This window comes from Homo sapiens, chromosome 12, assembly GCF_000001405.40.
Source record: "Homo sapiens chromosome 12, GRCh38.p14 Primary Assembly".
NCBI lineage: Eukaryota > Metazoa > Chordata > Mammalia > Primates > Hominidae > Homo > Homo sapiens.
This window is the reverse complement of record NC_000012.12, coordinates 80,696,332-80,722,591: the sequence shown is the minus strand read 5'-3', so window position 1 is coordinate 80,722,591 and position 26,260 is coordinate 80,696,332. Positions and strand designations below refer to the sequence as shown.

The 26,260-nt window shown below is 39.1% G+C and overlaps 2 protein-coding genes and 1 long non-coding RNA gene across 3 annotated transcripts in view, besides 2 other annotated features; 1 reads left to right on the top strand and 2 right to left on the bottom strand.

Moving 5' to 3' along the window:
- Positions 1–2,920: 2,920 nt before the first annotated feature.
- On the bottom strand, positions 2,921–5,680 carry MYF5 (myogenic factor 5). The gene is made up of 3 exons (NM_005593.3): positions 5,028–5,680; positions 4,159–4,234; positions 2,921–3,731 (listed from the first exon to the last, which is right to left on the bottom strand). The coding sequence occupies exons 1-3, from the start codon at positions 5,526–5,528 to the stop codon at positions 3,541–3,543; spliced, it is 768 nt and encodes a 255-aa protein (NP_005584.2). The 5' UTR covers positions 5,529–5,680; the 3' UTR covers positions 2,921–3,540.
- MYF6 (myogenic factor 6) lies at positions 13,118–14,958 on the bottom strand. Its single transcript, NM_002469.3, has 3 exons — positions 14,354–14,958; positions 13,978–14,068; positions 13,118–13,750 (listed from the first exon to the last, which is right to left on the bottom strand). The coding sequence occupies exons 1-3, from the start codon at positions 14,870–14,872 to the stop codon at positions 13,632–13,634; spliced, it is 729 nt and encodes a 242-aa protein (NP_002460.1). The 5' UTR covers positions 14,873–14,958; the 3' UTR covers positions 13,118–13,631.
- Positions 14,249–15,158: an enhancer, noted in NCBI's record as "H3K27ac-H3K4me1 hESC enhancer chr12:81101213-81102122 (GRCh37/hg19 assembly coordinates)". NCBI's record gives its function as "activates a minimal SCP1, AML or CMV promoter by ChIP-STARR-seq in naive H9 embryonic stem cells {active_cell/tissue: H9 hESC(naive)}" and the evidence as "EXISTENCE:reporter gene assay evidence [ECO:0000049][PMID:30033119]".
- Positions 15,354–26,260, top strand: part of LOC105369867 (uncharacterized) — a 176,665-nt gene continuing 165,758 nt past the window's right edge. The window contains exon 1 of the long non-coding RNA XR_007063388.1: positions 15,354–15,483. This is a non-coding gene — a long non-coding RNA (uncharacterized LOC105369867). The remainder of the gene's footprint in view (positions 15,484–26,260) is intronic.
- Positions 19,421–19,480: an enhancer, noted in NCBI's record as "active region_6688". NCBI's record gives its function as "activates an Ori minimal core promoter by ATAC-STARR-seq in GM12878 lymphoblastoid cells {active_cell/tissue: GM12878}" and the evidence as "EXISTENCE:reporter gene assay evidence [ECO:0000049][PMID:35858748]".

Below are 26,260 nucleotides of genomic sequence, written 5' to 3'. Positions count from 1 at the left end.
GCTTCTTTTGGATTCTGGGCTGGCCTTAGTAACTTGCTTGACCAGAAGAATGTAGTAGGAATAATGTTCTGGCACTTCCAATGCTACATCATAAGAAGACTTCTAACTTCTGCCTGAGCCTCCTGGAACACATGTAAAGAAGCCCAAATAGCCAGCTATGTCTTGGGCAAATTATTAAACCCCTTAAACCTCAGTTTTCTTATTTGCATAATGATAAGCACAGCACTCAATATTTGCCAGTTGCTGCTGTATCGCTATTTTCTGATTAATCTGTAATGAAGTGAATTTGTACCATAAACAGAGATAAGATTTGGCTAACTTCCCCTTTACAAAGGATTATTTTCATAATATTTTGACCCTACAATAATTTTGGTGTTCACTTTTATGATTTTATCATAAACCAACTCACTAGTCAACTAAAATATATACAATTAAAATTCTTAAAGGAAATAAATGTGATATCCTGTGCTTTTTGTGACAATGTAGGAACATTCAGTGGTGATATTTTCAGGAGCACTTTGCCATTCAAGCAGGGTTTTTCTGAAGTTACAAATAGCCGTACTCTAATATCATTTCCAGAAATACCACTTCTTCAAGTCAGAGAATTAAATTACCAGTTTAATCTAGTAACTGTTATAACTCCAAAGAGAGAATTTCAGGAAATACCACTCTCAGATTAAGTGTTCCTAAGAATGCCATCTTAAAGGGGAATTTATGGGTAGAATATGGCTACTAATTTTATGTAACTTGCATCTTTCAAAGGAGAAGAAAATAAGGACGATCAAGACACAACACCTGGATATATATAACAACTTGCATCCACATAACACACACAAATTTCCATAACTTCGCTGGACTCGGTTTTCATATATAACTCAGGGAACATGCATTTTGCAGCCATGAGAGGAAAGGAGGCTCTTTTGACTCTCACTTCCTGAAAACCTCTTCCCCATCACGCTTGCAGACGGGGAAGGGAATATTGTCCTAGTTGCTCTTAGAAATCTGACTGTTGGTTTGCTGCATGTTTTCCACCAGCTGAGGTGAAGTGGGCTAATACAAACTCAGAAACCCAAGTGTTCACTGCAGGAGATTTATAGATGACAAAATCCCATCCTTACTTCGATCTTTTTGTGAGTTCCATTTCTTTTTTTTCCCTGCTTTTTAAAAGAAAATAAGACCTTTCTGGATCTGAACCACTGGAAAACCAATTTCCAAAGTTCCCTTGTCTAAAAAGAAGTATGTATGACTGCAAATGCTGTGTTGTGCTGAGCAGACATCAGCCTTCAATGTTAGTACATTGAAAATGAGATTAATTGAGCAACATGGCATGGAGAATATTGTTTTAAATTGTACATTAACCACCCCTTGTATTATATCCAGACCACTGAAAAGGCTCTAACTACTTCAAATTATCATTATCATATTCATTGAGAATATTAGGTATGCTTGCAAAGTTATAAAGCAATTGAGATTTGATTTGAAAAAGTTTAATTTTCATTCATTTGAACCAAAAATTTCATATTTTCTGCTTAATTATATTAAATGAAACAAAATATGGTAATGTGTTTAAAAATTGAAGTTTAAAAAACTAAACCAATATTTGAATTTTTTTCCTGTCTGATCCTATTAAAAACAAATCTCCAATGTCTCCATAGAAGTATCAAAAGGAGAAAATGTACCTAGCACAGTTTCTAACAAAAGTGGATAACCCAGACTTATGTTGGACATATACACAAATCTCTATCATGCCCTCTTGAATTCTTTTCATGTAAAATCCTCACACTCTGAAATCATGAGTAAAGACTTATATCTGTGTGCTAAAAGTCAGCGTTCCCTGTCAGGCCATGATGCTAACAGAGTGACAGTGGCCATCATATTTTTTAACTCAGCCCTTATACCTCCCTTATGGAATGATTCCCATTCCTTTAAGCTTCATGACTGCATAAGCATGAGCAAATCACACCAGAGAGAAAGAGAAACCTTCCTGAGAACAGTAGCATTGCCAAGCTCTAGTAAAGAGTCTGTATGCTTTTTTTAAATTAATGTATGTAACCACAAATCCTTAGGAATTTTAAATCAATGTACATATAAGAGGATTAAACAATTATCAATATTTGTTCTCTGTGAATAGCTACTTTAGATACTTTAAGAATCTCTTTTTAAAATCTCTCTCAATGGTAAACTTGTGATAATTATCCCAATCATTGTCTCAACCTAATTTTCCACTTAATTGTTCAATTTTTTCATATCAGTTCTTTCTAGAGGAGATTTAGGGTGATGAATATGAGACAAGTCTGTTTTACATACACACATGCACACACACGCATACATGATATGATTAATACAATAAAGTTTAAAAGGCTGTAAAAAGAAGGAAGAAAACTCAAGTCTGTCTCACTTCAGTATAATTTGTGTAAGTTTTCTTATGTTGGCACTCTAGCAATATAAAAAAAATCAGCCCAATACCTTTAAATATTTTATTGACAATATTAGTATATATTATCAAGATATTTTCAGGCAGGTAGTAAAAGTAAATATGATTTAACTCATGCCTTCTGTTGTACTATAGTTATTAAAATGATGTGATGTTGTATAGTCTTTTTTAAAAAAGCATGTGTTACTGTCCTGAATAACCTCTATCTTCCCTTCACACACAAACGACTTGATAGTATATGGTACAGTTCTAAGATAAAGGAAAAGTTTCATTTAGCAGGTTCACTTGAAATATATTTAAAATGAAAATATGACATTTTCACTTGTGACATCAACAGGACCTAAACTGGGTACATGAGAATGGTAAATATTCAGACTTATCTGAAAAGCCAACTGTTTAAGTATTTTCAGCTCACATGTAAAGATTTCATGTCAATGAACAGTAATTCCATTGGGGTGTTATTTTAAAAGATCATGAGCCAAAATATTTCTTGTAGTAAAAAATTTTATTTATGGTGGAATTTCCAAAATTTCTTATATCTTGAAATGATCCACAAAGTACTATTTTGTGCTTACATTTAAAAGATACATTTCTTACAAGAAAAGATCAAAATATATACATTAGGCAGTATTATATTTTTATTTAATACAATATAACTAAAGGATTAAAGAGAAAAGAAATAGTTAAATATATTTAAAATTCCATTTAACTGATTCTCAGCTGTTTTAATGTTTTAAAGAAAAAAATAAAGCTCTAAACACCAGAGACATTTTGATGAGCAATATTTATAATATATATATATGTATATATAAGTTAAGCATTGCAACAAGCTACCCTCAATCAATGGCCCCCTATCAGAAATAGTATTACTGGAACTATGTATTAATATCTAAGCAAAGAATAATAAAGAAGAAGAAAGTATTATTTGCAATGATGACTTTTTAGTTAAATACACTTTCTTATAAAGTGGCAAGGTAATCTTTACAAATTTACAACTGAAAAGAAATCTTTATGTACATGTTGTCTTGGTTTGGGACTTTTTGAAGCCTTCTTCTTCCTGTGTATTAGGCCCTCCTGGAAGAAGTCATATAGACCAGAAAATTAGTTCATAGCACATGATAGATAAGCCTGGAACTAGAAGCCCCTGGAGTTGCAGGCTGTGAATCGGTGCTGGCAACTGGAGAGAGAGAAGCCAGATCCTGGAGAGGCAACCCAGGTTGCTCTGAGGAGGTGATCCGGTCCACTATGTTGGATAAGCAATCCAAGCTGGATAAGGAGTTTTTATCTGTGGCATATACTAAGGATACAAGGAGAAAAGCATTAAAAAATAATTAGCCCAAGATAGACAGATTTGCTTATGTTGCTCCTTAAATTGTAGGTCAGCTCCTCTGACACCCAGAGGTCAGGTGGTCACAGAAAGCCTAACATAGAAATTTGCAACAAATATCTGGCAATTCCTGAGGGGTAGACGTGGGGAGTGGGGAAGCCCCCTGATAATATTTCAAGCAACATTGTGTGTGCATGTGTGTATGCATGTGTGCGTGCGTGTCTGCTAGGGGGATTTGGAGCAGAAGATGTGTTTATTTTGCTTTACCAAAGCCTCCCTATAAGAACCATCACTTCCATTCTCCCTTCCCCAATACTATCAGCAAGAACAGAATCTTATAGGCTGAATTGTTAGGTTGAACTGGTCTTTAAACTCCTGTGAAGTTATCAATTCTTACCATTTGATACATCAGGACAGTAGATGCTGTCAAAAGTACTGCTCTTTCTGGACCAGACAGGACTGTTACATTCGGGCTATAATACAAGACACACAACAAAGTTTGTTTTCAGGTCTTGGCAAAAGATGTTCTGACCAAAGGTGAGGCTGTGCTTGCCCACCAGCTCTGTAACCGAACACTGTCAATCACCTTCACTGCCTTGATTTAGGAAGGGCTAGCCCTCTCCAAATTCCCAGGGCACTGAGGTCAATCTCTGTGCTTGAAGAAGAGGAGAGCAGCAGCAAAGGGAAGAGGGGGTGGAATTCAGCAGCAATGTGCATTGGGTTAACCATGCAAAATGGATTGGAGTAGAAGAAAGCCACACTAATTCAGGGAAAGAACACTTTCCCAGGGCAAAAACACATTAAAACCTGGCAGCCTTGGAGCAAACGCCCTCTAAAAAGAATGCATCAACATCTTTCAGCCAGGCCTCATTGGAGCAGGAACTGGGGCCGTGTGGGTATTTCTTTCCATTTCCTCATTAAGTTAGAAACGGTGCCTTTAGATATTAGCGTAGGGCATGATCCACAGATGGCATATTTTGAAAATAAATTCAGGAATGGAGAAAACATCTGAGTGATCATTCACAGCCACCCATCTTCCATGTCAACACTCGATTACAGTGTACACCTAGAACCTGCTAGAAAGTTAAACTAAAATCTTGTTCAGCAGCGGTTTGGGGAGTCTTTCTAAATGTGGACCCCTCTCTTCTTTTAAAGCAACTCAGCATCTGCCTCCACCCCACTCTCCCCACCACACCAGGTTAAATGAGGTGTAAGGACTTTAGAAAAGATTAGGGTAGCCTAGCAGGTACCAGATCTATTGCTTACCATGCCATCAGAGCAGTTGGAGGTGGGGCTGGTGGGCTCCGAGCAGCTCTGTCCCGGCAGGCTATAGTAGTTCTCCACCTGCTCTCTCAGCAACTCCTGCAGGCTCTCGATGTAGCGGATGGCATTCCTGAGGATCTCCACCTTGGGCAGCCTCTGGTTGGGGTTGGTCGTGGTACACCTCTTGAGGGTTTCGAAAGCCTGGTTGACCTTCTTCAGGCGCCTCCGCTCGCGCATAGTGGCTGCCTTCCGCCGATCCATGGTGGTGGACTTCCTCTTGCAGGCTTTGCAGGCCCACATGAGGCAGTGACCAGCCTGGTGGTGGCCGGTAGGCGCTCGCACGTGCTCGTCCTCATCTGAGCCCTGCAGCTCTGCTTTGTGCGCTCCGAAGGCAGCCACTCGCGGCACAAACTCGTCCCCAAATTCACCCTCGGGGGACGGTATGCAGGAGCCGTCGTAGAAGTACTCAGAAGGTGAGAACTGGCAGCCATCCATCACGTCCATCCTGCTGAGAGGCAGGCGGTGCACCTGGACGGCAGCGAGAGGGATGGGGAGAAACGGGAGCCTGGCGCCTCCGCCGATGGGCAAATCCCGGGCGGAGCTCCCTAGTCTGTCGCTCCGGTAATTAACAAGGGCAGACGCCTGTTGGCCTGGGTAGACAAGCTGGGGTTGGGGTTCTTTATATATTCTTTCGGGAGGGAGGCCGGCCCCAGTGGCCAGGCACTATTAGCATATCCCACCGCAACCCCCGCGGGGGCTGTCTGGACAAACCTCCGCCTTTCCTCTACAGACAATCTGCTGTGTACTGCCCCTTTTGACGCTAATGGTTTTACTGTATTTCTGCTGGGGCGGCAGTGGGTCCCCAACCTGCTCATTTGCACTCTCTAGATAGGCTAAAACAAGGGATCACTTAAGGAGTGTTTCACACAAAAGTGACCAAGGCAGTCCAACTTTTTGCAATTGGACACACATTTTAAAATAGTGGTAATAAATAGAAATCCCTTTCAGCTGGCACCAAGAGCCGACCTGCCCTCCCAATCCTGGGCGTGAGGAATCACCTGATTTGGGGGTGTTTGTTTCTCTTTTTCATGAACTTCAATTATCTCGAAAACTTTTTCCAGCAATTGGATTGAATAACGGTTACTAAAAACTTGAAGTGGCATTTTCAATCTTGGAGTGAATACAGGGTTTGCCTTTCCAAATCTATTTTGTATAGCTTCAGATGAGTAAAGTTTTGCTCAGATTGTCATTTATTCTAGGCTCTACCTTATTGAGAGTAGGGAGGGAGGTTCCTTTTCCCATGACTGGGCTTGCTCTGAGTTCTCCCTGTATGTCTGCTCATCTAAAAGGAGGTGGGGCACAGGAGGGCCAGGTGACCAGGAACATTCCTCCCGTTCTTGCTTCCTTCATTTTCCCCTTCTGTACGTATTTGTTGAGCACCTTCTCCTTTGTGCCAGGCCTTCCCTAGATCCTGAGCAGGCCAAAGACCTGCACTGAAAGTGTCTCTAAGATTTCCAACAGAAGAAGCCCAGTTTTCGACGGCAAACTCCCTTTCCAGGGGTGAGTCTCCTTTCTCCCTCTCTTTCTGCTCCGCCCTGTCATTTCTACAGACTAAACAGCCAAGCTGGGCTTTGGGGTTGCTAATTTTCTGCTTTCAGGCAAACTAACACCGTTACAGATGCGTCCCAGCTGCCGCCACTGCAATCCTTGACTCGTGTAAAATTTCCAACTCCTCAAACCAGGAGTAACTTCACACACTTCAGTGACAAAAGCCTTCCAGAAAAGCAATCACAGCAGGGTCTTTAGAACTTCGATGGATAGAAGGCAAGAGGGGAGGGTTGTCATTTAAGTGGGAATGAATCTATTAATCAGCTTTTACCAATCCTCCTCCAACCTTAATCCACTTTCAGGTTATTTGGGTTGGGGAGGTGCTGTTTATATTTAGGAAAAGCAATTACTTAAGGTCTACACAATTAGTCTTGGGGTTTTGGACTAGGTCTTGTGGCCCCGTTGAAAGAAGCAGGAGTGTTCTCAACTCAATCTAGGGTAACCCAGTTCAATAAATATAGTGGCTCCGAAGTTATTGCGAGGAGGAGGGAGTTTTCCTTCCTATTATTATTATTATTTCTTTCAGTGAATGGTACTTTGTACTTTTTTTTCAGAATTATTTTCTTAAAGCAACACTGGTTCATTGATCCAGCATCTTCAGGGGCCAGAGAAGTAGCAACCTTTTCAGGGTGCGATCTCTCTAAAGTGAAGACCTTGAAAACCAGAGGTGGGAGAGTGACACTGTCAGTCACTAAGGTTTGCTAGCCACACCATTGCTGTCTCCTCTCTTCTGTCCTGTCATCTCTAAGAAAAAGATCTCTCCTGAAAATCAGGTTCCCTCTCACACCAATGGGCTGCTTAATCATCTGACCAGTGGGAAATCCATCTGCACCTTTTTTAGGGCTATTAACAAGTCTATGCCTTTGAAATGAATACGGTATCCAGGGCTACGCCAGATAAAAAGAGGCAAGTTCAAGAAGAACCCAGGTGGAAACTAAGATGCCATCCACGCTGGTGGAAACATTCAAATGCACAGCAAATGCAAAGCACATTGCTACCTCTGAAATACAATAGTGGGTAGATATCCTCCCCCAGGAATTCTCAGCCAAGTCCCACAGTTTCTATTAGCAGCCATATGACCACTTTTTTATTTTTTTGGCTGTGGAGTCCACAAATTAGCTCGGACTTGTGCTTTGGACACAAATAAACTTGGTCTTTAAAGTTTGAGTGAAAGTTAGAGGTTACGCTTCTGCTCATCTTTCAGCTAATTTCTGAAAGCACTTAACGTGATTTGTACTCAAGCCCCTCAGCGCGAAATATTTTTAACTAACAATTATTGAGAATTTTCTATTTGCCCCGCACTGTTCTCAACCCTTTCCTTAGATTAACTTAACAATTAATACTCCAAACCACCCTGTGGGAGCTATTATTGGGCCCATTGTAGAAAGAAAGTAAACTCGAGCTCCAGGGACTAGGTTATTTGCCCCAAGGTCATACAGGATTGGAAACTAGGCATCCTGTCATTATAGTTCCTACTCCTAGAGGTGATTTTGTTTGTTTTCTTCTTCAATTAATTTAGGCTCCGTGCGCTTCCTTAGGGCTCCAGAGCAGAAACTCGCAAAAGCTGGCTACTCAACATCTTTCCCTGGCTCCTGTGCCTGGGAAGACGCCGTCACTCAGGAGCCTCTGTCAGTAAGGGTAGTTCTCAGAGGTTAGAGCTGTCTCTGGTAAGGTGATCTCAAAACAAAGTTACCAGAGTGCCGCGAGCGAGTGGAACTAAAGAAGCCGAGAAAACACAAGCGCCCGGCGGCTTAATGGGACTTGCTAGCAGGAGAACAGGGTCCGGACTTGAGAGCCCTTGGGACGCAAGTGCTGAAAATAGGATCTCAGAGTACCAAAGTAAAAAGAAATAAGACAAAACTTTTAAAACGCTGTCAGGGGCGAGAGAAGAAAGAGAGAGAGAGAGAGAGAGAAAAAAAAAAGGCAATATGCTAAGACAGTAGGCAGCCAGCACCACAAAGATGGCTACAGTGTCCCAATTCAGGAGCGGTCTCCCTGCTCTTTTCCCAGGGGAGACCTGGAAGGGGAAAAAGAAAGAACTGGGTGAGCAACATAGAGAAAAGCATTTTTTTTTTTTGAGTGGGTTGGCCAGGGAAGCATGGGAAAAGTTTTAAAAATGGCTCTGAAAAGATCTACTCAGGGCACCCTTTTGTACTCAAAGTCGGATTAGATTGGCTTTTGCTCCTCACACAAAGAATGAAAATAAGTTTTCCACTATTTCTGCAAAGAAGTGGATTTCTTGCTTGCGGAGAAAACGCACATTTATTTCATATGTAAACAGGTTATTAGAAATGACACTCCAACACTGTCTGCTAGGAAAGTCTAACCATAGGTAGTTGAGGGGAAGAAAACCCAGTCACCTCTGGTGCTATAAATGGATACCCACTAAGGCTCTGGTGAAGTATTTATTTATTTATTTATTTCATTTTATATTCTGAAAAAATAAATACATTTGATTTTCTTACAATTTAGAATTATAACCAGGTTCTAACTGCAATGACCTTTACGTAACATCAACTTTTTTTTTAAGTGAAATCTGTGTTAGTTTAAGCATTATGGCAACACACTAATATTGATGGACAGATCACACCAGCAAAATGATGCTCATACCTTCTTCTTCTAATAAATTTTGCCCACCCTAGGCTTTCTGCATTATTGAAAATTCTCTATGCTTTTCTTGGAGGGAGAAACCAAATACATATAGAAGGATACATACATTCCAATTCACTTCTGCCCCTGCCTGCAGATCCTTATCAACTCCTGGACTAAGGGAGTTGTTCTTGATATTTTTTATATTATAGATGACTTCACAATGTGCTCAACAATTGCAAATTGCTATTAGCTCTGGGAATCAGGCACACCTAAGTAAACACATTAGTACCTGCCAGAGCTGCTGGAAGAATTTGTGAAGACAGCTGAGGAAGACATTGGCCTCTGCTTGAATTAGAGGACTTCCAGGAGAGATCAAAGGCCTAAGTAAGGACATTTAGCAGCCTTGAGAGTACAGAAAGTAGCCAGTTCTTACAGCATTATCTTTGTTCCAGCACATGGCATAGCCATTCCATCTCAGACTGACTCTGAACTAGGCTTGCAAAAAAATTGCTTTTTTCAGAGTGAAACCTCTATGATGGAGGATCATCTTTTATAAGTGTAATAGTTTAAGGGAGTGACTGGAGGGGCCTGTCAGAGAAATAGCTTGGTGGTTTGGCTCTTTGAGAAAATACTATGTTATTGATAATTTATCAATGCATTGGATTAGGCAATTAGATATTCAAAGCTTAAAAAAAATGTCAAAAAAAATTCCAGCTATGGTGTTGTGGGAGAGCGATTTTGAAACGACAAAATGGGATAAAATATTACTAGAAGAAAAACACAACTGGGTAAATTCTAACTTTAGTAAAAAAAAAAAAAGTCTTAATAAGGATAGAGATCACTTTCAGCATCTCAAGATTTCTCTGCTAGTTTCAGAAATAGTTGCAAACCCTAAATTCCAGCATTCCCTCCACTCCCAAAACAAATGCAAGAGTTTGAGGAAAAATAAATGAGACTGTTAGACCTAAGAGGATTTCCAGTGTTCAGGCTTGGAATTCAGTGATCCAGGTATTAAAATTAGTATGAAAGCTGGCATTTGATTTTCTGCAAATTATTTCTGTAGTAATATAATAAAGAAAATCACTCATTATTTTGTACTTGATAACTTTATACCTGCCTCTGGAAAGAGGCTTGAATTTAATCCCAAATTGCTTATCTTTACCAAGTTATTATGTCTTGATTATCTGCTTCCACAGCCCTGTTTATTTTGGCTTTGGCCTCAGTAAAGATTATCATCATTAATATCAAACAAAAACATTTTAATTGCAAACACACCAAGGATTTCACTGGAAAGCCTAACATGTCATCTGTAGCAGTGGAGGTCACATGAAGTCTTTGGGAAATATTTGCTCTATTTAATGAAGAGACTTCTATAGGCAAACTTATTCCAAACAATTTCTCAAGTTACCCAGCTAAGAGAGATAGAGAGGATTTGGCTTGCAAAGACTGAATAAAATCCATCAACAAGTAAAGTCCACGAATTAATAAAAGCATTCTGCTGTTGAGCCATTTATAACACAGATCTTACTATAAGTATAGGCTAAATTATAAATTAAATGAGTTCACCTAATCAGTTACATTATTTTGTGTTGCATAATAAATTTGAATTTTAAAAATAGAAGTGTGCATATATACAATTTGGGGAAAATCCCTATTGATTCTCAGGGAGAAAATGATGGGCATCTAATAAGCATAATTAATGGGCATAGACACTACCCAGACATATTCACACATGTTTTGGTTGGATAATTTGAAATGCTTTACCACTTATTTTTTTAAGTTACTGCTCTAATTTGGAGTTCGGTAGCTAGCCACTCTTGAGAGAGAGCTTTTAGAAAACAAACGCCAAGGAGAGCCAAATTTTTCCCCAGACCATAAAATGTTGCTTATTAATTTCCCAAGGCAAGCTGGGCTCAGTGGTATGGGCCTGTAGTCCCAGCTACCTGAAAGGCTGAGGCTGGAGGATCACTTGAATCCAGGAGTTCAAGCCTGGGCAACAGGGACACATCACCCCTTAAAAAGAAAAAAAAAAGGAGGAAAGAAAGAAATTAACAATGTGCCAAGGCATCTGTTTCACAGAGCATGATGGTTAAGAACACAGGCTTGAATCCACTGATAATTGCCTGGCTCTGAATCCTGGCTCTATGCAGTACTTAACCAAGTGCAGGAAACTCTGTTCCAAGGATCTTCGCAGTACCTCTCTCATCTGTTGTAGGATTATGAGTTAATATTTAAATACTAAGAATGGCTCATTTATGTTGCTTTTGTTCTCATTGTTGTCAATATTTTCCCCAGCCAGAGCAAGGAAAGGCTGAAGAAACTATGGCTTTTGATGGAAGAAAAGGGTCTTTGAATTGACTAATGAAGAAGAGAGCTGGCATCTAGTGTTTATTTTGTGCCATTTTGGCTAAGCACTTCACATGTGTTATCTCAGTGAATCTTCACAACCTCAGGAGGAAACAGGACTAAGAATGAGCAGTGACTAGCCCTAGACAGTGGCAGCCTGGATTCCATCTAGGTAGCCAACCCCACACAGGCTCAGCTAAATCTCCCACCTACCTCTCCCAAACCTTTAAAAGAGATTGTATGTCAATGTCAGCTTCCACTATGAACCTTTCTGCCTTTTAAATTTGTTTCAGAAGAAATCTGAATTTCCCATATACTCAGAAAACGCAGTGACTACTATCGCCAGGAAGAGGCTTTCCTTTCTGAGAGGAAAAAGGGGCAAGATACAGCTCTGTACCTCCAGGGGGCACTGTCTGTGGTGCTATCTGGAACTTAGGTGCGCAACAAGAAAGTACAGCCTTTGGAGGGTTAGGAAGGAAAGGGTGGGCTGGGAAATACTGAATCCGATTTGATTTTCACGTCTGCTAACTGAAGACTAGCTGTTGGGGAGGAGGAGGAAAGGTAGAAGTTCAGGGGTGGGGGAAGGGAGTGAAGGTGCCACTTACAGAATCTAAGAGAGGAGTCGCAATTCAAAAGAAATGGCTTCCTCCTCTCATCTGCCTCACTTCCCACTGTGTTTCTTGGTGGTCGTTTCTTCCTGAGGTTACAGGATAAACAAACCTGGCACACGTTGTAAAATCCGCATGGTGAGGAGCTCCTGGGGCTTCTAGCCTCTTTGGGGCTTTGCTGTTTGGCTCGGCTAAGAGGTTGCATGTGTGTTGTTGTTGTCTTTTGCCCTCAACCATTGAAACCTTCCCTCACTTGAAGCCGCCCTCCCTTCAAAGCAGCCCACCCCACCTCCAGAGACAGATTGCCCATTTCTTTTATCTTTCGTATATGGAAAACAAACCCAAGCCAAACGAGGCCTTGAGGATATTCCAGTCTGCTAGGGACCAGTCTAGTTCAAGAAAACTGGGGAGGGGGCCCGAGATCCGGCCCTGAGGATGCCGGATGCAGCCCCGGGAACTCCAGATCCACACTTCAGGACAAGAGCGGCCTGGGAAGGCTAAGAGGGAAGGCCGTTTGTGGGTAAATCCGCTGAAGATCTTTTTGGGAAATGAGCACAGTTTTGGTGTGGTAATTTCTTGCAACCATATTTTCCTAGATTGAAAATTCCATTGTTAACTTTGGGTAAGTAAATCTCACCCAGATCTCCAGGTATAGGAGTGTAAAACCAGACGGAAAAAGATGCTGATAAAAGGAAAAATGACATTTTTCTTCTGGGCACTATTCACTTCCAATGACAAGTGTGAGGTCTACGAGAGAGAGAACAGTATCCAGTTTAATTCAGACTAAGGAAAGCCAAATTTCCTTTCAATTGGCATGTAAGGAAACACCCAAATAAATGGGCTTGTGTGGTGTCTAAATTAAAATATGGCTCCTCTTTATTTTTGTACACATGCCTCCAAACATATTTTTCCAGTTCCATCAAATTAGGACCAACTTTGTTCATATAGAAACTTCTTTTTAATATTACAATACCAGGATCCTCGCACATTTTATATACATCATTCCACATTTAAAATATATTTCAGGTTTACGTAAAAAAAGAAAGTGTTAAACTATTTACAAAAATACATTAAATACCCCTAACATTAAATGCAACTTTCCCACTTTAGACAGGAATGAACTTCTTTTGAACATGGCACAAAAGGATCACCGTAATAAAAGTTAATATAGTATAAAACCAACCAAACAAAAACAAAATGAGGCTAGACCTAAGCCACTCGCAGTTCCAAAAAAATAAAAGCCCAAAGCCGAAAGGCGTTTTCATTTGAGCATGCACAACAGATTTCGCAATTTTCGCAACGTTTCTTTGTGAATGTGTCTCCTTCCCTTTCAGCAACTTTTCGGTCTGGGTTCCTAAATGTTAATGTAATGTGACCTAATCTAAAGGATTAGGCCAGGAAGGGTCGGTGGGATCTTCCTGCTGCGTGGAGAAGGTCTCAAGCGCAGGCTCAGTTACTTCTCCACCACTTCCTCCACGCAGGGGAGTTTGCGTTCCTCCGAGGAAATACTGTCCACGATGGAAGAAAGGCATCGAAGGCTACTCGAGGCTGACGAATCAATACTTGCTCCTCCTGAGCGAAAAAACAACACACAAACATAGCACCCAAAGAAGGAACACGAAGCAGCTCCGCGCCCCGCGCGAGGCCGCTTTGGCAGCGAGGAAAGGCCTGGTCCCGGCGCGCAAAGAGCGCCCTTTTCGCAGGGCGCGTCCCTGCTCTCGCTTCGAGCCCTCTCGGCCCAAGCATCCTATCCACCTCCCGGATTTTCTCTGGTGCGGCCCAGAGCCCTTTTACTTTACCTTCCTTAGCCGTTATCACGAGCCCCCTGGAATGATCGGAAACACTTGGCCACTGGGAGCTGCAGGTGCGCAGGAAATCCGCACCCTCAAGCTGGAGGGAAAACCAAGGCAGCGGCAGATTAGGAAAGAAACATCGGTTCCGGGGTTGGGGTGGGGTGGGGGGCGGCTTTCCTGCTTCCTCGGGCCGGGTACGCATTTCCTGCCTATTGCAAGCACCCGGTCTTCTTGGGTCACTGGGGGTTCATTAGAGACGGAGCGGGAGGGGCGGGCGAGAAAGGGGGAAGGGAAAAAAGACCAAGCAGCTGGAGGTTAAGGCCCCGCGGAAGGCGTTTAATCAGCCTTCGCATTTCCCTGCCCCGGCAGCATCTAGGCTTACATTTTCTTGTTTGGGTCTGTAGCTGAAGGGGTCCACCCCCAGCTCCTGCATCTTCTCCTGCTGATCCAGCCGGTGCAGCAGGTCCTGCAGCCGCTCAATATAGCTGATGGCGCTCCGCAGAATCTCCACCTTGGGCAGCCTCTGGTTGGGGTTGGCCACAGTTCGCCGCTTCAGTGCCTCGAAGGCCTCGTTGATTTTCTTTAGCCTCCTCCTTTCGCGCAGGGTGGCGGCTTTTCGCCGGTCAGTGGGGGCAGATTTTCTCTTGCAGGTCTTGCAAGCCCAGATCAGACACTGGCCGGGGCAGTGTGGAGGCTGCAGGCCCGGGGGCGCCAGGACATGTTCCTCTCCGCTGCTGTCGCTCCCCGCTTCCGGGGGCATTTGGTCCTGGCAGGGGGACAAGGTACCATCACTCCCTGGATACAAAGGAGAGCCTTCTGCCACTTCTAATGGCTGCAGAGTAACATTTTCCCCATCCAAGTAGAAGAAATAGGAGCCAGTTTCAAAAAGGTCCATCATCATGTTCTCCTCCTTGGCCTCTGACTCGATCTGAACTGGGTGATGGACTCAAAAACCCAGAGGAACCACCCAGATGGCATTTAATTAGTGCAGTGACATAAGTCGACCCAGCTTTATATATAGTAGCTCCTGAAACTCAATCCAACTTTTAGCTGTCATGGAGCATCAGTCTCCCAATGTGATTGCAGCTAGTGCTCTCTAGAACATCTAGTTTGAAAGAAAACTGAGAAGTGTCACCTCCCAGAGTGTTGTGACAATCTATGTGCAGACCAGGTTACACAGAGAGAATCACATAACTTAAACAAAGCATTGAACCCTTCCATTTTGGGCAGTTTAGATACTAACCTGCTTACAGGACAACTTCAAAACAACTGGGGATTAACATTGCCCTATTCCCCTCCCCCTGCGCTCATCTGAATTCTAAGTATAGACCCATGATGAAAGATTTCAAAGGCAATAGCCATTGCTCCAAAATAGCCGGGTTAATATTTGCAGAGTGGTTCAGCTCCTTTCTCTCTCCTGCCTCTCAAAAAGATGCTATTCCTGTGATTAAAACCATTACAGTGCTTCAAAGGTTATACATGACTTTCAGGCTTCAACCTCAATAGAAGCAGGTAAATCTCTTTCCTCTCTTTTACTAAGGCTGCAAGATGATTTGGGAAATGGAGGGGGTTGCTGAAGGGTGCTCACATCCCATGATACTGGATGAAATGATTCTCTGGGTCCTTCCATAGAGACCGTCCTTGACTATCTTTTTTTTTTTTTTTTCCTTTGGGGAGAGGGGCAACCAGGATCTGAATTCTGTACCCTTCCATTTGTGGAGCAGTATTACATATGAGGTAGGGAGTGGGATAGAGGATGGGGTTACAATACATGTAGTAACTCCTCCTTAAAAATAGTTTTAGTGAAAACAAGACTCACACCACAGCTACTTGATATTTCAGCATTTACTTGTGGCCCCCTCCAAGGTGCCTCTCTTATGATTCCAGTTCTGCACACTGTGTGCTCACCACTTTTTCTTTTGCATTCTCACTATCCATTGACTCCAAATAAGTTGTTTGATAGGATTTAAGTGAGAAAGGTTAGCAACCAAGGCACGAGCAAGGAAACAGCATTTTTTAAATTGCAGCTTGCCCATGGTCCACAAGATACATGTATTGTTCTTCGGGAGACAGTACAATATGAAGGTCAAGTGCGGGGGCCCTAGATTCCAAAGAACTATCAAGTCCTAGCAAGGTTAATTTCTATGTATATATCCATGGGTAAGTACTAGATCTTGATGTCTTCAAGATGATAGTGGTTTCCTTACAGTTTTAGTGAGGATTCAATCAAATGATACCATGCATGTGAAACACATAGCACATAGCTGCTTGATGAACAGTAGTTATCATTTGTAGTATAAAGCCATGTTAGGGCAAAGACTCATTCCTATGAATGAAATAAAGCATAGCTGTTGGAGAGGTTTTTCTTTTTCTTCCCTCTCTCTGTTTTGTTGTTCTTTCCCTTCCTTTCACCTTTCCTCCTAGAGCTCTAGAAAGACTTCCTAGCTGTAACTGGCCTTTGGGATGTCAGTTGACCTTGGTTTTGGTCTTTATAGTCAGTGCCTCAAAAACTATGTGGGAACATAAAATCTTATTGCTCTACCCCAAGCAGTAATGATTATAAGCTGTGTTCTTTATGACTTTATTTTAAAAAATGAATAGAGTGAAGATAATGCAGGAAATCAACTGTCAGATAATTTAGAAATTAGCTAATCAAGTCGCCTATTCTAGAAGATGATTCTTCACAGTTTCTATTGAGCCACAGACTGGATGTTAAGCTTTGATATTTTTGGCTGTTTTTATTCCTTATCAAGTTTAATACTATTCTTAGATTTTTGGAATGGTAAGAAGGAGAGAGAAGAGTTGCAAGAGGCCAATACTTCTTCTGTGACTTTTTTTTTTCTATTTTCGCCAGTTTCTTGGTTGCTCAAGTCAGCAATTAAAACTGCAGATTGAAAGTTTCAGCAACTCAGGGTATAATCTAACATCTATTATAGAAAATTAGCTTGTGCTCTTAACCACACTTTATGTTGTCTCTTGTAAATGTGAAGACAATTTGAAAAGTTAACTAAGATTATTGTGATAAAAATCATTAAGAACATTAAGATAAAAATGACTAATTTTTTTTATTCAGCATTTATTGGGTACCTACTAAGTGCCAGATAGTGTCCTAGGTGCTAAGGATAAAGCATTAAAAAAAATCTCTCTTCTCATGGAGTCTGAATCTAAAGAGGTGAGTTAAATTAACAGACCAAATGGGAGAAATAGCCTTGGAATTGGGATGGGGAAGGCCTAGATTATAGTCTTTTGGGGCCTGTGAGGATTTAATGAACTCTACTATCTCAAATTCTCAGATGTTTAATCCGTAACATTGGCATAATGACAAAAGATGTCCATATTTACAGGATGTTATAAAAATTAAACTTTTAAAAACATGAAACCCACCTCAAAAATGTAGCATCCTCTCTAAAAGTACTTTTATTATTGGAATTAGTATGTTCAGAGAAAAATAAGGGAGAAAAATATCACTACTAAGCAATTTTGAAGCCTGGGTGAAGAAATACATTTAAGGTGTTACCATTCTTAGACTTGCCACTGATTTTAAGAGGTATCAGATAGATGTTAGAGAGCCTTCATATCATGAACCCGCTAAAAAATATGGAAGTTCGCCTTTTCCTTTTTCTGTTTCTTTCATTCAAGTGTCACCACTGGAGAAAGAGCCAGTTTAGAAATGTAGAAAGAGAATTATTTTTTTAAAAAAGTATATAAAGCTTTGGGGTGCAGATCAGGAGCAACTTCTTAGGCAAGGGTGGCTTTTACTGGTATAAAGTCAACTTTCACCTATTGAATTCTTCCTTATTAAATTATGAATCCCCTTTTCCAACACGCTCTAGACCTCAGACCAGTAAAATTAGTGGGAGTGTTTACCCTGGTTTAAACAGATTTTTCCCCTTTTTTGTGGTTGTTTTGGGAGTTGAGGGCAGGAGGTGGGAGGAGAAAACAAGGAAATGCCAGCTTGGGAAATAATCACCCTTTATTAGATTAGGTCAATGGGAAAATACGCACTGATGCCAAACTTCTAACTAGTGAACTCTTGGAACTCAAACTGTTTACAAAATATGAGATGCCTGTAATTGCAATTATATCACTTCTCAGTAGAACTTGGAGACACAGACCTTGACAAGTGGTCAAATCAGTTTTACATAAACTGCAATCCTCCAAGCTTTAAATAGTCCAAATATTTTTTTAATTATGGAAAAAGTAAATGATAATAGGGGAATAATAATATTATCATTAATAAAATCACTCCAAGGGGACTAGACTTCATTCATCATAAAATCTGAAACTAGATTAGTGACAGGATGGGAAGTTTTCATGTGGTTTACCACCCTGTTGTTCTTACTTCATGCTTATTCATTTGCAAATGATTTTTTCCCCCCAAAAAAGCCTGAGTGCCTCCCAATTCTTTTCTGTGGGAAGAAGTGGGAAGGAAAGTATTATGGCTAGCTCACATCAGTGGATTTTAGCTATGAGCCTTTGGAAATGTTGCATATATGGTAGAAAGAGAAGAGACCTTTGGGGAAAGACAGAATCTGTGTTCTAGCCATTCTTAAGTATGTGTTTCTAGCCACAGTTTTATTAGAGATCAAAAAGCATATACATTACACATATCATAGGCTTTCTTTTCACACTAAATTAAATAATATATTTTGAGCCCATGGTATGAAATATGCACTCAGCAAATATTAATTCTCCTACTCAATTTGTAAGGCCTCTGATGGAAAGAATCATAGTGAATTCACTGAAAAACCTAGATTTGGTGAGAAAGATGTTTCTGAAAAATTTGGGGATTTGTGTTAATCAAGGTGAAAATATTGAAACTAGTCGCTCTAGTAGCAGAGCTTAATGTATTTATACCCTCATTAAATTTCCAGTTTACTGGGGAACAAGATACTAATTAAAAGTCACACAAATGAATAACCGAATTAGGAACTTTGAAAGAAAGGAATGTAGTTCTCTAAGAGTGTGTAACAGTAAAGTCACTCCTGAACAGGAAGCTTGAGAAAAGGATGGTTTGGGAACAGAAGTTCCTGAGGTATTGTGGTGGCATTTCTAGGGAACAAAGTTCAAGCTTTTTGAAAAGCCTTTGGAAAGTAACAGGATGATGGTGACAGTCAGAAAAAGCTCAAGGAAGAAACAGACATAGATGACTGTCAGAGACTAGGGAAGAGATTTGTGTGGGTGATAGCTGGGGAATTTGGTTACATAGTCAGATTCAAAGAAAGCAGTTTCAGCCACAGCTGATAAAGCAGAACTGAGGGCCGGATAGACGATGATTATACTCTTTCAACTATGAAAAATAGAAGAAAGAAAAGGGTATAGAAGAACGGAGAGAAGAGAGAGAGGAGAGAAACAGAGTGAACAGAACGCAGGCTAGCCCTCAGGACGAAGGGTCACCCAGCAAGGGCGGAGAGTAGCCATAAAGAATAGAAGGTAAAGGAGGAGCCCGCTGACTGAAAGGCAAAACTCAGAAGAGGCAGATTAGTGCTTTCAATTTGTGGCAGCTAAATGAGTAACATGAGCTCCTGCACCTGTAATTTACCTAATCGGCAGACAGTTTGTGCCCAGAGATTCCCAAACGCTGTGGTAAAAATAGTTTTGCACTTAGACCTACAGAACATCTGAGTCACTTCAGAGAACCTGGGGGAGGGGCATAAACCAAGCAGAGGAAAAGGAAAGATATTAAAGGCGAATCTTCTGCAATCTCCAGTAAGTGGCAGTGAGAAGTTATGCGTAGAAATGGGGCTGGACCTAGATTAGGAAGGGCTTCGGTTTCCAGGCCCACCATGGAGCACCCTTTTAAAAACAGCACCAAGGAAATGAGTCTAGAACAAGCGAAGGGGGAACCAACGAGGCTGCTCTTCAGATAATTCAAGAAACACATTTTTGCTCTTTGCTCTCACTCCTGATTCCAAAAATCTGTATTCAGTTATGTACTAGCTGCAAAACGACACTTAAGAAGGCTGCTATTCATTTCTTAATTCTCAGGCATAATTTCCAGGGAAGGTGACAATGAATGCTTTTCTCCCTGAGAAACACATATTCCTCAGTGCAAAACATGAAGCCTTCTTCATAATTCTGCACCTCCGTCCCCCCGCTTTTATTCAGATTTCTGAATTTAAGATTAAAATTTGGAAACCATTAGAATTTTTTCCAGGTTAAGTATTCTTTCCTGGTGAGGGGCCAACTGGCATAGGTTTGCTTAGGACTGAGCAGGTACCCAGGAGGCCAGATTTTCAGTGCTAAAACTGGGGAAATCCTGGTCAAGTCAGAATGAGTTTGTCATTCTATTTCCCAGAAAAAGCCCATAGAAACTGACATACATCTATTCATAAATAAGAACAATGTACAGAGTGCAGGATATATAAAGTATAGATTTTTTATTTAAAAAATTACTGTGATTATAAATATGGGTTTTGATATTAGACAAAGTTCTAGGCCCAGCTCTACTACTTGCTAATCATTTGACATCGGACATGTTTTATAATTTTTCTAAGCTTTAATTAACTAGTCTATAAAATAGAAATAATATTACTTTATAATATTGTTTTAAAGGTTAAATAATGTCAATAAAATCCAATATACAGTATCTAGCACATAAACAACATTCAACACAAATTATTTCAGCTATGATTGAAGGAAAAAAAATCATCCATTCCTTGTTGCTTCAATAAATCAAACCCTACTTTTTTGTTTTCTATATGAACAAAATTTTACATAATGTCATATGATAGAATGCAAATTTTGTTACTTTTTATTTAAATATAAATACAATATAATATTATGTATATATTGCCTTTTTCAAAGAAAATATTATATAAACATTTTATGATGCTAAAACAACTAATATTTTAAATGTTCAAAATCCAAAATATATGGAATGATTTTCCTATGATGTTTAATTCTTTTAAAAATGCAATGAATCATGATATTCAGATGACCCCAATTATAGTGGTGCTTGGTGTTACTAGCTTGCTAAGATAAACAAATGTCTCTAGTATAGTATGGTTAGCCAAGTATTTTGTTACTGCCCTCCAACTGGCTGGTTATGACATATTGCCCAAAATGTTTGGTGCTTTAATGGCTGTGTCAGGGTCTACCGTGACAGATAGCCACCACTGTACAAACACATTTATTCCATAAAGTTTCCCTACCAGTTTGGAAGAAAAAGTTGTTTAATCAGATATTCACTTACATCTCACGTTTTTTTTGAAAGTCCAGACATTTTTGTCTGTGGATAATACATGTTAGTTTTTAGGTTAGTGAGTGATAGAAAGTTATAATGTGTTTAAATTGCATATAATCTGGAGCTTTTTAAAGTACAGGCATTACATGTTCAACATGTCACTGGTCATATAAAATTAATCATATTAAATTTTATCTTCCCTGATTTTATATGATTTGGGCTAAGTGTTGTCATATTAGAAAAGACTGTCTGTGAATTTTACAATATTAGTATGGCCTTTTTATTAAGCCATTTAAATAGATTTTTTTCACTTTCTTGTATTTCAGTATAAGCTATCGCGAGATTTATGCTGCTTCTTTTGTAGCAATATAATGTTGAAGAATTGGTGCTTCCAAAAGAAAAGAATAAAAAGTAGTAATATATATAAGTTTTTTATTTTGTAAAATTGTAGCCATTGTTCAACTCTGAAAAAAAATAAGTTGCAGGCCCTTATATGTTGAAGTACTTTAAGTAAATGATCTCTTTACATCTTCACAATATTTTACCAAGTGTATAATATAATTGATTTCATTTTAAAAATACAGAAAGCAAAGCAAAGATAAGTTAATCTATTTGCCCAAGATTGCATGCTATATACTTAAACCTGGTTCATATGGCACTGATTCATATAATTAAAGAGAAGCTTTTCTTCTGAATCTCCTGACAGCGACCAAAAGAATAGTCTTCTAGGAGTTACCTACCTTACAGGAGCTTTGAGTGTTTATTTGGGAAACTTCAGGCTAACTTCTGTTTTTTTGTTTCTTTTTTGTTTTGTTTTGTTTTGTTTTCAGTCACATGTCCCAAAGAGGCATGTTGGTAACTGATGGCTGAGATTTGGACCTACGTATTGTCCCATTAGCAAATAATGACACAATGGTATTTTCCATGTACACTACTACGTACAGGCAGCCTGTCTCAGAGGTCACAAAATAGATGTTCAAGTGAAGATACTCAAAACACATGGTCTGATTCATTATTTTAAAACACACAGTGAGAAGCAAAAGGAAAAAGATGGAATAATTTAGTGCACTATTGTAGGGTAAATGTGGAGAAAACACATTTTCCAAATACTAAGTTACACAATGCTCTTATATCCTGTCTTTCTCTTTTCCCCAATTAGTCGGCTCCACTTACAGTAATAACAAGGACTAGGGTTGAGAGCGAGCAAGGGATCTTAGCAGGTAGAAGGTGTCTACAACCAATACACAGATCCTGTGAACAACTAGCCATATCTAACTCTCATGGATAGGACAGTCTTTTCCAATTGGACATCACATGTTTTGAGGATATTATGCTCACTTGAAATTACTGAGGTGTCTAACTATTGAGAAGGCTAAATGTAAATATGGTTGATAGAGATAAAGAGAAAAATAAAAGCAAATACTGATCTTACTTTTTCTACAAAGGAGCACATGGAAAAAGGCATTGTAGGATCTTTTGGAAGAGAAATTTTATTTTCTTAGTCTCCCATTAGATATGCTGAAACAAATTACATTTTGATATAATTATTTTTGCTATATTTGGTTTATTAATATAAATTATACTGAAGTTTAGCAAATTATTTTATGTAAGCCATTTATAAAGAAAGCCTTTATTAAGAAATACCTTTCACATAAAGTATTCCTAAGATAGAGATGGAATACACTTGAAATTTTCAATTTGTGTTAATTATGCTTTTAGTGAGATTTAATAATCAAAAATTTAAAAAAACTACTACTTATTTATTAGTTGACAGAATAGAGAGAATTTAGTTTTAAATGGGATTACAACTGAAAGAGGCTAAAACAAAACATCTTGGTTTGTTAACATATTTTAAACTCACTTAGAAATAAGTTAGCTTGGGCTTGAAAGGGTCTTTTCTTTCTCAAAATGATGGGCACAGTTTGATCCAAGAATTACCACATAAGCTGAGTGTAGAATTCCTTTCTAAATTTGTTTCCACGAAAATAGATGATCATATGCTGTTGGAGATCAACAAAATAAGGTGCTTCCATGACGCATAGTAAAGCATTCTTTTCTGTGAAACGCTTTAATGTGAACTGTGACAAGCATGACTCCTATGATGGATATTTGGTGAGGTACGACGTTCTTATTATGCAAACAAGAGCTTATTAACATGGTTTCCTCAACTCCACTTCTCACTTCCAAATCCTCTAGGAATTGACACCAACTGTCCATTTTGACACTTGTTCATTAATTTTCTTTCAATAGAACTATTCTCTTCGCTCAGCTGTTGTAGCAATTTAAGATTTTACATACTTTTCTGATATGGCTCTTTGTTGGACATTCCTTCTGTGTTCAGAGGACCAAATAACACCAGAGTTCTAATGTATGTCACAAAGTCCTTAGTTCAGTTCACCACTTGTTCCATTACCCAATCTCATAAAAGGGAACTTCAGCTCGACCTCTTAAAAAGTGAAAAGAGCAAAATCAATTAGTTCTATCAAGACTTAATGGTCATGACAGCAATAAATCCATGCCAGTGCCTCCTTTCCTAACCTGAATCTTTTCACACACCTGCCAGTTGATTCCTGGTTATAAGTTGCTTACAGAAAATCTTTTTTTTTCTATTAGTAGGCGTGTGTGCACACATGTGTGAGTACACTCATATCACAGCCATGACTGGAAGCACTAACAGATCACAGGCAACAGATAATGATTATTTATTCCTTTGTGAAATATGCTCGACTTTGCAAATTTTTATTCGTGATCAGAAAGCACCCTCGTTTTGAGGATTAAAGGGCATAAAAATGAATAATATAAGGAATGGCTGCAGATGTGTCTAACATTTGTTTTGTAATAAAATAAAGTTGGACCGTGCAGTGGTATGATTTCTCCATGGCACAATACGCTCTTTTCTTGTGTCAGTTTTTGTTTGGGTTTAGTGAGAAACATCACATCACAAAGAAACAATGCAAGAATCAAGAGTTGCTTTGCACTTTACCGATCTGTCGTGCTGTTCCTGGAAACGTTTATATTTGAGGCTTGCCAAAAGACAGCAATTGTTTTGTGGTTGCTATGATTAAAACAGATATAAGTGTAATAACTGATGCTTGATGGTTTCGATATTCTTTTACTATTTTGTTCAGATTCATTAATATGCTTTAGTCTTTTAGATTTTGAATTATGTTACGATGCAGTAGCACTAAGAACATATGCTGCTTTTTAAAAAGAATGAACTCTTTTCCAGATATTAATTCTTTAATCTTAGGTATATGATTCTAAAATACCTAGACTTCTTATGTTTCCATACTTTATTTTTACTTCTTTGAGGATTTGGTATTCTAAATAGTTTCTAAATCTCTAATAGCAGAAATTTTTCTTTAATCTTATCCATGTCAATTTACCAAAAAGCTTATATTTTTCTGACTTTGAAGAAAATCCCAGACTTCTCAATGAATAAGTTATCTTTTGAAGATCAAAGTGATTATTAAAATCAGCTTTTGGATATATGATAATATTGTAATACTATTTTTGGCAGTGGTAAGTTACTTAAAGAGTTTTATAAGTACATCATAATAGCAATAACCTCAGACACAGGGAAAAATGAAGTACGATCTTATAAAATCTTATAAGATTAGCATGAAATTGTTCTGAGGGTGCAGTAATTTAGATGTGCCTTCAGAAGTGCAGAGCAAGACCTTTATAAGGCTCTGGGACTCTGGGACTTTGAATAGTCTATTAAAGACAAATAATGGAGAAAGAAAGAAACAGAATGAGAGAAAGAAGAGGAGAGTAAAAGAAGGAGGAAGAGGGAGAGTGTGGGGGAGAGAGGGAAAAGCTATAAGGGGGAAAGTGGGATTGTGAAGCCATTCTGAGTTCAGAATTGACCACTAGACGTCTATTAAAATCAACTCTAAAAAAATCACAGGGTTTTCAAAATCAATGCATACTCTGGAATTATTTAAAATGCTTAAAATACTGGGTTGACACAGAAGGCTTTAGGGTAAAGTACATCTCCTTGTTAATGATTTGCTTCTTTGGGAATACAATTTGGTAGAAAAGTTAGCACATAAGTCACAGAAAGCTTGGAAGTTCCTGATGTTGTTTCCTACATTTTTCTACTTCAAAATTCAGTCTGTAAGGAAATATTCATAAGGAGGCTATTTGTGGAGTGTGGATCATCAAACTATATTCACTTTTCATAGCTTGTATTGATTATAGTATCTGATTTTATGTTTACATATATCCTAGCACTTATCACATTGCCTTATAGTGCTTATTGTTCATATCACCCATTACATAGGGCAGGAAATATGCAATAATCAATATAGATTGCAGAAGACTATCTGTTCTAAAATAGACACTATGTAATTTTTGTGAGTGATTGAGTGAAAGTGGTAATAACTGTCAAAACCTTCTATCATCTATGAGAATGTCTTGAAATGGCATTTTTTATTCTTAGAATTTTAAATTTCTATTTCTATTTGGTATTTGCTTAAATTTTATTGGTGTTTTGCCCAAAAGATGCATATTTAAATCAATGCAAGACATAATGCTCATTTACTGTCTGAAAATAATTCCGCCAAAACTTTTGTTTTGGTAGAAGTTCCTGAAACCTCTATGGGACCAGAAGTTCTCTACTCAAAATACATTTTGTAACAAGACATTTTTTTTTTTCTGTAGCTAAAATTGCTAAGCTTTTGACACAAGTCTAGCTGTCACAACCAAATTTTAGTACACCAGTCAGACCTTCATGCTATGGTTACATAGATGAGTATGATTATTTATTGACTGTGTTTTTTAAAAGCAGTGGTGGGCTACTTGTTCCTAGTCACCTTGCTCCTGAGTACCTGGGCATCTTTGATGTCCTTGGTCTCTGTGTCAATAAGTCATTATTTCATCTAGCTGGGCTCATAAGTATAAGGGTCTCAAGACATGTGGTTATTTACCTTTGCTCACTCTTCAAAACAGTCATCAGAAGCTAATCTGTGTTGCTACCTTGTCACCTCCCAAACCTTGCTGGTTCAGAGTTTGATGGGAACCTGAAGATAGTCAGAACAGTATGGAACCCCACGTGGAAAACTAATCCTTACCTCTTCTTTTTGTATCCTTCACATTTTT